Here is a 16,548-nt window from a genome sequence, read left to right on the forward strand (position 1 = left end):
AAACATTTTCTCTTCCTACCTACAGAAGCTGCAAACTTTAATACGAAAATGAGGTAGACAAAAATTCATAAGTTAGCCAGGCAGAAACAAAAGCACAATTCCTTCATGAGCTCATAAATTCTCATTACTTGGGTCGACAAGCATTATTCCAATGCACCTAAAGCAAGGCTCAGAGAACATTTTTAGGTTTGTCATGAAAAACCCGAACAAGCAATTTCTCCTAAGGAGAAGCACAGTTTCCAAGGTGATCAGCAAGCAGGTTGACAGGGCAATGCACAAAGGAACACCGAAGACCCATCTTGGATACATGGTATCACCTAGCAGACTTTTAATCTGTGATTATCTAGATGAATTAGCTTTCTCTAGAACGCTCTGGATTTTTAGCCTACTTTCTGCTGTGGTTCGATAGTATAGAGGTCTCTTTCCAATTTACTCCTCAAGTCATAGGACATATGCATAGACTACTTAATGTCCTCCTGGGACTGACTGCAGGAGTCAACTGAAAGGCATGTGAGTTTAAGAACCTTATTTCAGGCTGGGCATGGTGGCTCATGTCTGTAATCTCAGAACTTTGTGAGGCCAAGGCAGCGGATCACCTGAAGTCATGAGTTTGAAACCAGCCTGGCCAACATGGCGAAACCCCGTCTCTACTAAAAATACAAAAATTAGCCAGGTGTGGTGGTGGGCACCTATAATCCCGGCTACTTGGGAGGCTGAGGCATGAGAATCACTTGAACCCGGGAGGAGGAGGTTGCAGTGAGCCGAGATCGCACCACTGCACTCCAGCCTGGGCAACAGAGCAACACTCTGTCTCAAAAAAAAAAAGGAACCTTATTTCAAAAACAAACACTACCAAAAAAAGAGTCCAAAGGCCCATTTTAAAAAGGATAGAAAAGGTTGAATTTCTGGAGGATATTTCTCACCATCATGATTCTTAAATCCGCAATGACTTGAGCCAGAACCAATGGCTGATCTAAGATGGGGACTTAAACCCTAGGTTCACAGAAGCTTCATTTTAGGGATGCTGGAAGCTATATTAATAGTGATTTGGGGTTTCTTTCCTAAATACTGCTCTTTAGTAACAAGTGTTGAAGTAGGCAATCTCCATTTTGACCTTGGAGAAGGCTAATTCACACAGCAGCAGTTGCTTCTTGACATCATCTAATGCATGGGAGTACTGGGAGAGAGAAAGCAACCAGGCAGAAGGATTAATTGCTACCCTTGGTCCCTAATAAATCTAAGTTGCTTTCTGTTGAAAGCAACATGTTAGCACCTCCAACATACTTTTTATTGTTGTTAGTTTCACCGTCAGTTACAATGATGAAGCACCATGGAAGTGGCTTTATGGCTATTAACACAATTACTGAGGTATGCTTACATTTGGAATTACTAAGATATTATACCAAAGCATCCACAGAAATAAACACACAATTAAAATCAAAACTCTACAGTAAGAATCTGAAAGACTGCCCTCTCACTCATATATTTAGGAAAAGTAATATATTACAAAGATATTTTAAAGAAAATGCTTTTGATTTAATTTTTTAAGATCACAATTAAAAGCCTTGCAGAAGTGGCCTTGCTCTTAGACTGTAGAGGCTTCGCATATTTGAATAATGATCACTTTATAAAGAAACCATTGAAATCATATAGGCAGCAAAATGATTTTAAAAATGCGTGCACTTGCTTCTGTGCATACTAGAGCATTATAATTTCTTTCTCTCTCTCTCTTTCTTCCTCTGTTTCAGAGAACTGTGTGCAGGCCCAAGGAGAACAACTACATGAAATAAACCTTATGTTTTCAGTTACAATAATTAGCAGTTCATGTTTTAAAATTTAAACATTTATGCTCTTAAAATATCTGTGGGGGAGGGTAGTGATCCTGTGTAAAAAAAAATTTAGCGTATTTAGAAAGTGTTTAAGGAAGAGAATACCATGGAAATTAATTTATAATTCTCTAAGACTTATGTTTTTCCCCCTGTTTTCCCAAATAATTCTTCCTGGAGAGGTAAATATAGAATAATCAATGGAACTGAGATGATCAATGGAATTGAGTCTGGGAAGGGAAATGCAGGTTTCTTTTTTTCACCAAACCACAAGAATATGCAATAAATAGCCTTGTGTGTTTCTTCCTAAGGGTTAAGAGATTTTTTTTTTTTTGGGTCAAAGTTAATGAACTACGACTTTGTGGACAGCTAGTAGACTTTCTAAAACATAACTCTGGTACTGGTATTGCTGTTGGTCTAGTGAACTGGGTGAAAACACAATGAGCTTAAGAGGGAATTTCACGAAAAATAATATATAATAGGAGATGAGGGAAGTTGGGAATGTCAGAAGATGTTCCTGAGATTCTAAGGTTATTTCTGATCTTCAAAAATGTTCATCTGGGGAAGGTGCCATTATTGTAGGGAAAATGCTCCTACTGAACTGACTAGAGATACAACAGACCAGAGCTCTCTGACCCAGAGTGGCGTTTCTTAAGTTCTGGAAGAAAATACTTAACAGTCCAGCTAAATAGTACCAGTGGAGATAATGCTCCAAATTCTTCTAGATTTCTGCCTAATACAAAGTATAGTGATTATATAGTTAGTGTTACACCTGCAGACACGACCCCAGCCATTGAAACCCTTGACTCTTAGAAATGTCAACAGGTATTAACCATGTCACTTCACTTAATCTGCTCTTTAGCTGGTTTCAGGGATGGTTAAGACTTCTGAGAACCATACTGGGTAAAAAAACATTCTGGATATGACTTAATACAATACTAAATTCAGCTTCAGTGCAATTAATGTATTTACAGGACCATTTTTCCTCTATTTACATGAAACAGCCCTAACGGCTCCACAGCTTATGGGCACAACTCAGCCAAAGTATTGTTTTGACACAGCTGATGCTTCTGTTTGCCAAGAGCTGCCCCAGAAGTTTGCATCATATTTACAGTGGCAAACCTGTCTCACCATGTCAGCTGCTGGCTAAGCAGATAGCAAAGGAAGACTAGGACCAAAGCAAAAAATGGTCCCAAACGGGCTTCCTATCTCTGTGCAAGAGAGAGAACATTTCCGACACCCTAAAAGGCACCAGGTCACCTGTTCCATTTTTGGTCTTTTGCATTTTTAAATGATTTTAGTCTATTTTGTGGGCACAGACTTTGTAAAAATTATGTTCAGAGCTGTACCCGAGTCACACAGGCAAATTACAGTCACTGAAGAAAAATTGCTTTGGCCTCAGTAAGCAGGTATCTTTCCCAAAAAGTCAAAACTACTACAGCTTAGAAAAGGAAAGAATGTGTGCTATTGAGTTGTCTGTTAAAATCACTATGTATGTGTGTGTGTATGATGTGTGTGTGTGTGTGTGTGTGTGTGTGTGTGTGTGTGTGTATTTAGGCTAAGAAAAGGCAGCTACTTCTTGGCACCAGGTCCTGTATGAGGTACACTTATTCTTTAAAGTCACTTTGGCAATATCATAAAAAGTTAATTCTATTATGTGCCAATATGGAGAAAATAATAGACTATTTATAGCAGAGTTTCTGGGATGCCCTTGTAAGTGTGACAATTATCTGCCACAGAGGAGTGCCCCAGAATACCTTGGAATTAGATAGTTTGGTTAACAAACATGAATAGTTAGGGCCGTACCGAGCTCCAAGGGCCAGTACTCCATGCAGCGTCGTGTGGACAAGCATGTGTGTTACACTGCTCACGATCGGGAGGTTTATCAAGAATTTCACAGCTCAAATCTGGAAACCGTTCACCGTTGGACCGCTGACAGACCACCAGTCTTGTTCTTATGCCTCCACCACACAGCTTAGTGCACTGGAAGAAGGAAAAGGAAGGCTGCAGTTATTTTGTCTGAAAGGCCAATGACAAATTTCCTTTCTCCCTAATTTCTTAGCCAAACTCAATTATGGCATTGGGCAAGGTAAGCCTCTGACAGATGGAACCAAGGTGAATTACCAATAGTGATACGTAAAACAGACCAAGACTCTCCTACTTTAATGGCAGGTATTAGTTATTAAGTGCTTTCTCTTAACTTGCACTGAGGACTTTTGCATATATTATCTAATCAAGAGGAGTGTAATTATTTGCCCCATCTTATATATGAAGCAATTAAGGTGAAGGGAGGTTAATTAACTCGATCAAGTCCAATCTGTTAGCAAGTAACAAAGATCCTTTCTTTTTTTTTGAGACGGAGTCTTGCTCTGTCATCCAGGCTGGAATGCAGTGGCACGATCTCGGCTCACTGCAACCTCCGCCTCCCAGGTTCAAGTGATTCTCCTGTCTCAGCTTCCCGAGTAGCTGGGACTACAGGCGTGTGCCATCACACTCGGCTAATTTTTTTGTATTTTTAGTAGAGATGGGGTTTCACCGTGTTAGCCAGGATGGTCTCGATCTCCTGAGCTCATGATCCTCCCACCTCGGCCTCCCAACAAAGATTCTTTGAGAAATACCAAACCAAACCAAAACAAAACAAAAATAGACAAACAAAAACTACCCAATACCAAACAAAGGAGACAATGACTTAACTGGTTCTATTTTCTGGCAAATTTTAAGAAGCTGTCACCAATCCTTGGCTGTTCTCTGACTCCGTCTCCATAGCCCTTTATGACACTAACCTATTTTACTGTATCTCTGAATGTGAGGACAACTATGACTTTCCCCTTGGATGAATAAACAGCATGGTGGGAACACTGGATAAGGTTCTGACTCCTGGCTAGATCTAAACTTCTGAGGCAGGAACACGTTGTATTTCTTGGACAGTGCTGCTGCGCTCAAATCCAGCAACACTGACATTTGGTTTCCCTGCTGTGTCAAGGCCAGATCTCCCACAGAATTTGGAATGATCTGGTCTGTGCTGACAGCAAAGCATCCCAGCAAGTTCGTGTACTCTCCTGGCTTGAATCCAATTACAGAAGCTTAATCACAGGCCCCACAGGACAGAACTTTGCGAGGAGGTTTTGGGAAATCCACAATACATGAGTCACAAAGCCTCATTCCCTTTTCTTTCCCTTCAACAAAGCTCTCCAGAATGACATAACTGTCAATGAAAGTCAACAATAATCCCGTTATGACTGCCTATGACTACTAGGTTATATGGCTGAAACCATGAAATGTGGACACGTGATTTCATTCAGCCAAGGATGTGGACTAACATGCCCATCAATCTCATTTGTCTTTTTCCCCCCCTTGGCACTGGGACCTCCAAAGTGTTATTTCTCGTGTTTTATTTGATAAATGTTATAGTCAAGACAGAACAACTCAACAAACTTTAAATATGTGCTCTCCCTGTGGATTCAAGAATAGAGAGATATATTCTTAGTTAATTAAACACAAAACAATAAGCATCTAGGCCCTATGTATAATAAGGGCTCAAACCCCCACTTAGTCACAGTATTATTAATAATTATTCTTAACATTAATTATTACTACATTATAGTGGCAGTTAATTGATTAAAGGCGATGTGCTACGCATTTGATAGATACTACCTCATATCATGGTCATAAATACTAAGAAGTTGGTGCTATTACTATCCTTATTTACAGATGAGGATATAAATATTTGGCAAAGATACTACATTATTTGCCAAGGTCACAAAACTTTTAAGAGCCAGAGCTGAGAACAGGACACGGTTTTCTCAGCTTCCAATACTCAGTTGTCCCCTATCAGTCGTCACAGGCAACCCTGAAAAGGTAGCAGCTAAATAATTCCATATTTGAGAAAACACAGCTAACTACTCACTTCTGCAATAAAAATACATCATCTTTCATAGGAATTATAACACCTACTCAATCTGGCTTCATTAGTGACTTGGAATGTTGGGAGACATTATGCCATGGGAACAGGGCATAACACAAACACCCCAAAACTATGAAGAAGAGGGCAAGACTTCCATGGACCGATTTAACACATATTTTCAATCACTTTAAAAGCATCTATTTTTTAATCATCAGAGGTGAACAAATAACTTAAACCAGTATTTATCTGTATTCTCACCTAATTTTCCTCACCTGTGTACCCAAACTGTCTCTTAGTGGTAATAGGAACACTTTAAAATAGTCCAGAATTTAAGAAGACAGGTTTCCTAGTTAATCCCCACCCCAGAAGCTTCTACTAGAGCTAGTTCTTCTCCTTGAAAATAAAATCTGAATGATAAATACAGTTTGGTTAACACAATTCCTCTGTATTTATAGACGGATAGTTCACTCTCACCTCTCCCCAGTTGCCATAAGCCCACTGAGGACAAGGGCCGGATTCACAGGCTCTTTGCTCATCAGGTTTTATTCTCTCCACACAGTCGTTTGCGGTGTATCCATTTTCATCCTGACATACAACAACACGCCGCTGGGATCCGCCAGCACAGGTACTGGAACACTAAACACATCAGTCGACAAGTTAATCCCCACCTCAATCTCCATCTTAGGGACACAGAAGCAGCTGGTTGAAAGGTTAAGACAAATGTGCTGAAAAGCATTCTCAAGTCATCCACGAAGGACAAAAAGCAATCAGGAAAACCCAAGAACTTCCCCACTGTGGGGCTGTTTCATGTACACATCCTATAGACACACCTGGAGGGCAGAAATGTGTCTTCTCTTCTGGTGTGCCTCAGGCCCTCTACAGGGGTTCCATAAATGCCTAATGTGACTTCCAAAGCAGGCCACTTACTGTCTTTATCCCCTCTGCATCTCTAAGAGGTACAGAGGTGTTGATGGACACGACAGTTAATTTGGAAATTCTTTTCAAAACTTCAAGTGCCTATTTAGAACCAATATTTGATTTTCCTTTCAACGCGGAGGTCAAATTACATGCCTAATGAATTGCCAGTTGTAGAAATTAAGCTTCTGTATGAACTCCTTCAATTACTCCAGGAAAACATCATGGAATGTCATTTAGACATCATTTCCTAGCAGATAAAATGTTCCTTTCTCTCTCTTTACAACAGCCTGAACTTCGGTGGCTAATGGTAGTAAGACTTGTTTTATTTATTTTTTACTTCCCCAATGAACTTAATTGAATTTCATCATGACAAACCTCTCTTCGGCCGTGCTTTCAGCCTAACACCCTCTCTTTCATGGTTTGTCATGGGGTTATGTTTGCATTTCATTTCATTTCCCATACAAGCCTCTCATAGTTCACTTATTTACACCTGAAGTGTTTTCTTCTTTCCATAACTTCTTTATCTTTTTAAACCCAAAATGTTTGCTAGTGTCCTTTACCCCGACCCTTGTAAAATCAGTTTGCCTATAAAATAATCATCTGGTCCTCAAAGCAATGTATTTCTCACGATTTATCAAGACTCAAACTGCATTTGCAAGTATGTTGTTAGTTCCAGGTTCTGAAGGCTGATTTTTGCTTTCTAGCTAATCGTAGCTCATATCAGTGTTATTTCAAGATAGGCTCTATCAAACATTGCTTCTTGCTGGTCATCTTCTTCCGTATCAAGATGTGAATACATTTTGTTGCTAATTGAACTGGACCACTGTTAATTTCCCTGCCCATGCTGGTCAAATTATAAGTGTTTTTAAATCAGTATCTACACTTTCATTTTATATTGGGTTTACTTTTTTAATGTAGAGCTGGATAATAGATTTATTAGTTCCTCTTGAGAAAATATTTAGGTATTTTTCAAGTTATAAAAATGTTACCTCTATCTTTGATGATTCTGGTATACTTACTCTAAATCTCAAAATATTCATTTCCTATTTTTTTTTTTTTTTTGAGGTGGGGTTTTGCTCTGTCACCCAGGCTAGAACACAGTGGTGCGATCACAGGTTACTACGGCCTCAACCTCTCAGCTCAAGCAATCTTCCCACCTCAGTCTCCTGCATAGCTGGAGACCGTTGGTGTACACTACCACACCTGGGTAAATTTTTAAAATTTTTCGTAGAGACAAGGTCTCACTATGTTGCCCCAACTGGTCTCGAACTCTTGGCCTCAAGCAATCCTCCTGTCTTAGCCTCCCAAAATGCTGGGATTACAGGGGTGAGCCACCATGCCTGGCCTTACTTCCTACCTTCCTACTTTTAAGCAGCTTAGTACATAATAAAAAACAGAGAACTATTATTTTAATTAGCTTTGTTTGGGGACCAGAATTTTAAATGTTAGGAAGGGCCTTTCATGGTATAAATAGATTTGTCATCTATATCTTGGTCCTCGAGTTTTCTCCTTGATAATATAATCTTGTATCATTCCTTTATTATGTCACCTGTCAGCTTTATTGCCCCAGTAAAATGGCAGGCTCCTTGAGGAAAGGCTCAATGTTTTAACCTGTGTCCCTATTACCTTCCATAGTGCTGGTCACAGGATTTGCTACCTGGTCCAGTTAAAGATTCTGGAAGAAACAGCTCTAGAAACTCCATGGTATTCTCTCTCCAATATGTCTGATGGGTGCAAGGATGAACACCTGATCCATGGTCAAGCAATCCACTGGCCACCCAGGGAGTGACTGGATGCTTCCTACCGAGAATCCAACTGAAGTGCTGGTGATAGCTCTCAGCTTGGGCCAAGCAGTTGCACTGCACATTCTTGAGCTATCTGAATCCTGAGCCTGCTTGGGTCTTTATACTCCCACAGACAGATGAAGTATTGTACATAACCTTTCTCCAGGTCTAATTTTGCCATTATTTGATTAACAGGGATTCTTAGTTCCATTTCTCCATGTTGCAGACTTTCAGTCTGGACTTTTGTTAACAAAGTCCCTGTCCTCTTTAAATGACAACATTTTCTTAGGTAAACATTTATTTGAACAAACTTTGAATCTATTAGTAAAACGTACTTGAAATTTGTCATCCACAATGGACAAAATAAAGGAGAATGGCCTTTAGAGAAGCAAAGGGAGACAGATATTTGTTTTTTTCTACCTGCTCAAATCAACATCCTTTTCCTTACATCTGGCAGCCCAATTTCCTTTAAGAAAACATTCCTCCTCATGGCAGATGCCATCTTCATCTATCAATTAAGACACTCTGCCCTATTGTGGTCAGAGGTGGGCAACTGGACTTTCCTGGGAATTTGAATCCTCAGCAGAATAACTCAAGAGTGGCAAAGGCTTAAAAGAGATTCATTAAGACAGAAACTCTCTAAAGAAATTATCCCTTAGTTACCCCTCTATCTAGATCAAGGGTTGGCAAGCCACAGCCCAAAGACCAAATGTGTGCGGCCACCTGTTTTTAGAAATAAGGTTTTATTGGAACAGAGCCATGTGCACTTATTTACATATTGTCTATGCCTGCTTTTGTGCTGCAACACACAGCTGATTAGCTGTGACAGAGACTGTATGGTTCACACAGCTGAAAAGATTTATTATCTGGCCCTCTGCAGACAAAACTTGCCAGCCCCTGAGACAGAGCCCTGAAGATGCTCTGGTCCCTGTCCCTACTGCGGCTAAATGAACAGCTTTGTTTGTTTTTCTTTCACTTGAGTCAGTTTCTGTTCTTTTTTTTTTTTTTTTTTTTGCAAAACTCCTAATTGCTAACACACCTTGCTCAAGTGTATACAGAAATCTATTATAAAATGAAGTTCTTACTCCAGAAACCACTGAAAAACTTGATTCCCATTCCCCAGTGTTTATAACCCTTTGCCGCCTTTTCTGCCATGGAAGGCAGGAAGACCATGTACAGTTTGTGTACCATGCAATGCAATGCAAAGATGACGTACATCCTTCATCTTCCTGGGAGCAGGTCAGACACGTCAAGCTAGGGCTGAAAATCACATTGTCCAGCTTCAGCCTCACTTAACGTAGGGGAAAAAATATCCAAACAAAAAACAGGCACAATGAGGAAAAGAATGGTATTACCCATCGCCACAAAAAGCTTACCTAATCCTCCCTAATTGGGAGCTCTGCCCAAGGGCAGAATCATTCAATCTTAAAGGAATGCATCATCCCCAAATGTAGTCCTAAATAAGCACAGCACTAAAACACTTTCTTTAAATCCTAGCGCTATCATTAGACTACACATGTGTGAGTTTTGAATTTTGTCAACAAGGAAAAACCATGAGACACTCGGTGATTACTTCCTTGGATCACCTTTTACTTTCTCAGAACTGAAATCTCTTCTAATCTAGGCAAAGGAAGCCCAAAAGTGGAAAGCAAGAGAGGGGGATGGGATAGCGAGGGTCTTGGGCAACTTGGCAGCTGTTCTGCACACAACCAGCAAAGACAGTGGGTGCAAATGCTCAGTGGCTAATTAGTATTCATCAGAAAGTACGTCTAATTTACTGAAACATAACCGCAGTGGGAAACAGACAGCTTCCTTCTAATTCTTTTTAGCCCAGAAACAATTAAACAGAATTAGCAGTACTAGAAGGAAACTAATAGTAAACAATTAAAAAGAAGACCCCTGAATAATTAGTAAACACCTAACTACGTCCCTACCCAGGATCCTTTAAAACCCTCCCCCTCCTGCAGTTCCATTTAACATGTCTGGTATTGCACAGCATATTTTTTTTTAATTATTTAGTAAAAACTTCAAAACATTCCAAAGCATACTTTTCCTTTGATATCAGATATTTGTCAAGGCCTCCCTAATTTGAAGGACAATGATAATGATAATAATAAAGACAACTGTCGACATTTATTAAGTTCTCACTCTGTGGCAGGCGGGGCGCAAAGCACTTTATCTGCATCATCTTATTTAATTCTTACAGCAACCCAAGAAAGCAGGAATTATTGTTATCCTCATTTTACAGATAAGAAAACTGAGGCTCAAAGAGGAGAAGGGACCTGCAGAAGGTCCCCAAATTTAGAAGTGTAAGTCATTGGATCAAACCTACGCATCTTCCCTCAGAGATTGTGCTGATAACCTTAAGGTTAGAGTACTTCTCTCCTAAGCACAAATCTTACCTAGTCTAGTATTTCCCCCTAATCCAGGACAATGACCTACTACTACAAATTACACAGCAACCATGCCACTTTGAGACTGCACCCTTCTGGAAAATAGTAGAGGGGAAAGTGACTTTCATTAAGAATTCCCTTTCAGAAAAGTTTCTCTGTCTTCTTAATTCCCCTACAGGTATGAGCTGCCTGTGGCCTCCAGGATGAATCCTGATGGTATTTACGGTACCTCCAGGAGGCCATGTGATCATATCACCTAGCCATGATATCCCCTTTCTCCACCCAATCGAGACAGCTTATAGGTGGACGCAGGCAGTATCAGTATCATCAAGGGCTGTAATTAACCCATTACAAGTTACTCAAAGCAAATGAAAATGCACAATGTCAATCCCTTGTAAAGAAAAAAATATGCTCTAAAGGTGTTTCTAGTCTCTTTTACCCTAAACCCAACCTCAAGTGAAAGAGAAGCAAGCAAACTTCAGGGAATACTCACTGCTCCCCAGGGGCCAGTTCTCCACTGGTTTCCACCGAGCACATGGGTGCGGCTGGGGCTGGCGCTCCGGGGACGATAGTCCTCATTTTGGAAGGGGTGCTGAGCTAAGCCACTGTCTGGGGTCCTTTGAGGGCATGGTGACATGGAACAGTCCTGGTCAGTTTCTGGGATATAATCCTGGTCACACTCACTCCGATCGATCACGTGGTCACTGTAGTTGACACACATCACTTGCCGGGTTGCCCTACCTTGCCCACAGGTCACAGAGCACTAGGTTGAATGTTCAGAAAGAGAAAGGGTCAGTCATTTGGTGGAGGGGTTGACAATTCCTGAATGTGCATTTCTGTAAATGGCCCACCACTTTCCCAAATTGCTCAGGCCAAAAACCTTGGAATCACCCTTGTCTCCTCTTTTTTTCCCATCCCATATCCATTTCAGTGAGAAATCTGTCAGCTCAGTATTCAAAATCACAAAATATAACCCTTTACAACAAAAGTCAAATCCTATCCTTCCTTCCAGTGATTTTCCAACTCATTTGAATAATACCCAAAATCCTTACATTGATCTACTAGACCCTTTATGATGTGGCCACTGACTACCCCTTTGACCCATCTACCATTCGCCACTCACTGCACTCCAGCTATGCTGGCCTTACTGATGCTTCCTGAACAAGCCAAGAACACTTCCATCTGAGGGACTTCATACCTACTGCACCTTTTGCTGTACCACTTAAATTCCCATGTGTGTCATTCCCTCACTTCATTCAGGTCCTGCTCAATGTCAGGCCTTTTTTGACCACCCTCTCTAAAAGCACATCCCATCTTTCTCTATTCCACTTCTCCTCTTGACCTCTTTCTAGGACTTATCAGTACCTCTTGCTATATTACATACTTCCTTATTTGTTCATTGACTGGATCATCCATTGGAATAATCTCCATGAAGGTAGGGGCTTTATTATTCATTCTTCACTGCTCTTTCTCTAGCAAGCTTTCACAAATATCTGGTGAGTAGGCAGATGGATCTTAGAGAAGATGAACTGACGGATGGACAGATGGATGAATGGATGCATGGATAAGTGTTTGGAAGCTCAAGACATGAGAGTGAGATTATCTACTATTTATTGAGTAGTACTTTCTGCTAAGCATTTGACGTACATAATCTCAAATAATCCTCACAACAGCCCTGTAAAGTAGTATTCTTTTCCGTCTTCTTTAAGAGCAGAGCACACTGAGACTCATGGACTTAAACCACATTGCTCAAGGCCATGCAACAAGTAAATGCCAAGGTCTGGGTTTTTACAGAGCTCTGTTTCATTGCACCTCTCAAATTTCTCTCTCTATATTATGATATTTATTGAGATATTAATCTCCATTCTTCTTATGCCCTCTCCTCACCTATACTAATGTATTTCTTGAACTCTGGGCTTTTTGCAGGGCAGAAAACAAGAAGCTGCCTAAAGATAAAAGTTCTACTTGTAAAAAAACCCATAGATAGTGCTTGGTGTACAGCAGGCAGGTTCACAGCACTGGATGAGGATTCCCACTTCCCATTCTTGTCAGGGGAAACCAAGAGCCACTTGATTTTTAGGGACCACAGGATGCAGGAGGAATCTAGACTCAGAGTAAGAGCCTCTCCCCTCACTCTCCTGACATTTTTGGTCCTCTACAAACCTACTGCATACTAATATGACTCAGTGAAGACTGGGATTTCTGATCAGCCCAACAGGACAGACACTCAAGCAGACTGTAAACCGATTTATCCATTTTTTGAAATGTGCATTCCTTAAACATTTAGCTAAGAGTCCTTGCACACTTGGCCAACTACACATAAGTGGAGCAGCACAATTTAAATCATAAGACAAATCCAGCTCTGAAATATTACCCATTGACATTTCCAAGTGGCGCCCCCCTCCGCTGACTCCTCATAGCCCTCAATGTTTCCCCCATTCCCCCTAATTCCAAATAATCCACTGGCTTACAGAGCTCCAGTCCAAGGCCTTCCATTGCCCACAGGGTGTCACAGAACATTCTTCCTTTGCCACTGGTCTAGGCAGGGTAGCACAGGCACTCTCGTCAGCCACAGAGCCATTCTCATCTCGGCAGCTGACGTATCTCATCCGGGTACCTTTCCCACAAGTGGCTGAGCACTGGGTGTTGGAGTAAAATCATGCAGTTATATTACGTGGAATGGCTGCTTACTGGACAGTAGCCCACTTTCTATAGCCATGTCTGAGAATGTTAGCCCCCATCCTGCCCTCCCCATTTCTCCCAGTCTATTTCTTACTGGGGTCCAAGACCCAAATCGCCACTGGGTTCTTGGTGCACTGTATGTGCTTCTCCTCGTTTCCGGGGCAGCTGGGGGAGGATGACATGATGGTAATTCACAGTCCTAGACGTGATGGGGGAAAAAAAAACAAAGTCACTTTCAAGTCAATGCACTTTCAAGGTAATGGTCATGGTGGATAAAAATGTAAAGGCTAAGAATTCTAAGGCTTCAGATTTCTGTGTGAATCTGGGCAAGTCACATGACATCTCTCAGTCCCAATGTCTTCAACTGCAAAATGAGATATAATCTTAGTCCTTTTGTGGGTGCCTTAATAAAGGGCAGGGGTCAGCTTGAGGATTTTTAAAGCCATATTTATTCATCCGTTTGTGTAAAAAGAGAAAAAATATTGTAAAAGGACATGTAAGTCATGAAATAGCAGGATATCATTTTAAAATCATTAGTTGTTAACGTTTTAAAACTCTGAAGGCCAAATGATGTTCTCACATTTCAATTAATTTCTTAATCAGAATTTGCTAATCATGAACTTGCTTTCCCTGTTTGCCCAAAGATAACATCAGAATCCCAGAATGTCAAATGTAGATATAAAAGGTGTATTCAATTGGCCAATGCCTGGACTTCATATAACACCCCTCAATCATGCAGACGAAGTCCCTGTTATGAACTGAGGTCATCTGCGTACAGGTAATATTCCAAGATATGCAAACAGGAACAAAAGTACACACCTGCTCATATTCACTCTCAGCCTCAGTGGTTAAAAATTATCCTGTGACTTAATACATATTCATCAAATGCCTGAGTGTGCTGTACACAGTGCAAAAGTGCTGAGGCTTGGTGTCACATATGACTGAGACATCTTTGCCTTAGAAAATCTATGTGTGGAATGTGAAATTTTGTTACGTGGCTCCAGACTTTGCCTATTCCTCTGTTTTTGGTCCAAAGAAAGCCACCGGGAACTTTTTACAAAGTGAAGGAATTATTCACATACTGCAATGGTGGGAGCCATCCCATAGTCAAATGGATATAATAGAATAACTTAAAGGGAAATATATTTTGAATCTGAAAGGGAGCAGCCAAGTCCTCAGTTCATGATTGCTTTAGATGCCATAGCTAACATTTTCCAGGCATTCATCATTTGGAACATTTCAATAAAATAATATATTTTTTATTATAAGTCACATATGTTGGTTAATTGATCGATGATGACAACATGAACAGCACTGCCATATTAATTTATTTTTTTAACACTCTTTATCCATTAACAACACACTTTGAAAGGCAGCAGATTGAGGGTGTTCAGGATGGAGATAGTACATCAGCCACATGGGGCTTCACTCAGAGTGTGAGTTCTGGGAATAGCCTGGGTTCAAATGCCATCTTCAGCAATTAGCAAAGCTGCTATGCAAACCCGAGTGTTCTCTTTATGTATTCTCTTTACATACATGATGCCAAAATCAAGGCCCATATAGAATAGTATGCTGGTGAGTGGTTATCCACCAGCTTCTTGAGAAAAAAGATGTGTGTGTGTTTATAGATATTTTGTGTACACAAACACACACATATTACATGCATGTACATACACATACATATGTACATATATGCTTATTTATTATAAATTTTACTGATATAAAGGAGGTATAGCAATTTTGAAATAACAATAAAATATACAATTATATATTTTAAATTCCATACAGCCAACTGATTCTCACAGAATACATTTGTTGATTTTTGCTGAACTTTTGAACCTGTTGCCCACCTATGTTTGTAATTGCCAAATGAGCGTAGTTCAGGCATGAATGTTAGTTGATATTTTCTTTATGTTTAAGGGTAGGATGAAAGTGGAATGATGAAGATGTATGGCCAGAACTTGACTCACTGACCAGTGATGTGGAAGATGTCTTTGCTGAATCAGATACCTTTCAGATATTAGAAGAATATTTCCACATCCTTTTGTTCTATTCACAATGTAACTGCTACAGACACAAGACTCGTTTACATTTAATCTGCATCATTAACATTTTCTCCATTACTTTCTTAAGTCTAACCAATCAACCAAATAATAAATTAAGCCCTGAATTGTAGCCCTTGCTGATTCCTGTGGTGTAAATACTCTCATCATGGCCATTTTCAAGCTATGAACTTGATGTCAATGAACACAGAGCTGGGGAGAGATAGGTGGCAGCACACCCTTACATAGTACATCCACCATACAGACACATACGTACATTGTATAAGTTAAGTTCTGAGTGTTTATAAACTTTGCTTTTAATACCCTACATTTAATTATAGATTTATATTTTCAGTTTTTAGTAATGGTTATACTTAATAATCAGTTTGCAAAACTCCTGCAAAATTTATCAATTGGCTCTTGTGAGCTGGTACAAGTTAGCTCCAGCAAATCACCGCCTGAACATGTGACACTAGTTACTGAATACTACATTGAAATCATTTTAGAAATATGAGTTTAAGAAAATGAGCCCAAAACCCAACATTCATCATCCAATAGGAATCAAAAGCAAATCTACATATACTTCAAATAACCAGAGAAGAACAAAACTGACACAAGATATTTGATTATAAATGTAACATACAGGTAAATCTGGACAAATTAATCTACTGGTTGCTCTACTGACATACTTATCTATGAAAGGATTTCAATTTTGTCTAAACAGCTGGGCAGTTTGGTACCTTGGTCCCCAAAGTCAATAACTGAGTTGGACAAAGGAAACTTACCTGGGTATCAGTTGGTCTAGTTGCTGCATTACAGTCATTGTCATCTACCACTGACATATAAGTCCCAATGATGCATTTCACTGCTCTTAGCTGGTATCCCTGTCCACAAGTGACACTGCACTGGAAGAAGGAGGACAAAAGGTATATACAATTCAGCAAATCTTCTCTTTCCCTTACTTTCCCCATAACATTCTGCAAGAGAGAAATACTTCCA

The 16,548-nt window shown here is 40.1% G+C and overlaps 1 protein-coding gene across 5 annotated transcripts in view, besides 1 other annotated feature; it reads right to left on the bottom strand.

The window, feature by feature from the left end:
- Positions 1-16,548, bottom strand: part of ADAMTS9 (ADAM metallopeptidase with thrombospondin type 1 motif 9) — a 172,347-nt gene that overhangs the window by 74,972 nt on the left and 80,827 nt on the right. For all 5 annotated transcript variants that reach the window (XR_007095711.1, XR_245151.1, XR_007095712.1 and 2 more), the window contains 6 exons: positions 16,335-16,454; positions 13,602-13,706; positions 13,297-13,464; positions 11,319-11,588; positions 6,205-6,366; positions 3,633-3,809 (listed from right to left, as the gene is read on the bottom strand). Coding sequence is in view for 2 of the 5 variants with exons in the window: in NM_001318781.2 (NP_001305710.1) it covers positions 3,633-3,809; positions 6,205-6,366; positions 11,319-11,588; positions 13,297-13,464; positions 13,602-13,706; positions 16,335-16,454 (1,002 nt within the window). In the remaining 3 variants the exon portion in view is untranslated. The remainder of the gene's footprint in view (positions 1-3,632; positions 3,810-6,204; positions 6,367-11,318; positions 11,589-13,296; positions 13,465-13,601; positions 13,707-16,334; positions 16,455-16,548) is intronic.
- Positions 6,322-6,909: an enhancer, noted in NCBI's record as "NANOG hESC enhancer chr3:64582623-64583210 (GRCh37/hg19 assembly coordinates)". NCBI's record gives its function as "activates a minimal SCP1, AML or CMV promoter by ChIP-STARR-seq in naive and primed H9 embryonic stem cells {active_cell/tissue: H9 hESC(naive and primed)}" and the evidence as "EXISTENCE:reporter gene assay evidence [ECO:0000049][PMID:30033119]".

The sequence above is a fragment of the Homo sapiens genome, chromosome 3 (genome assembly GCF_000001405.40).
Source record: "Homo sapiens chromosome 3, GRCh38.p14 Primary Assembly".
Classification (NCBI taxonomy): domain Eukaryota; kingdom Metazoa; phylum Chordata; class Mammalia; order Primates; family Hominidae; genus Homo; species Homo sapiens.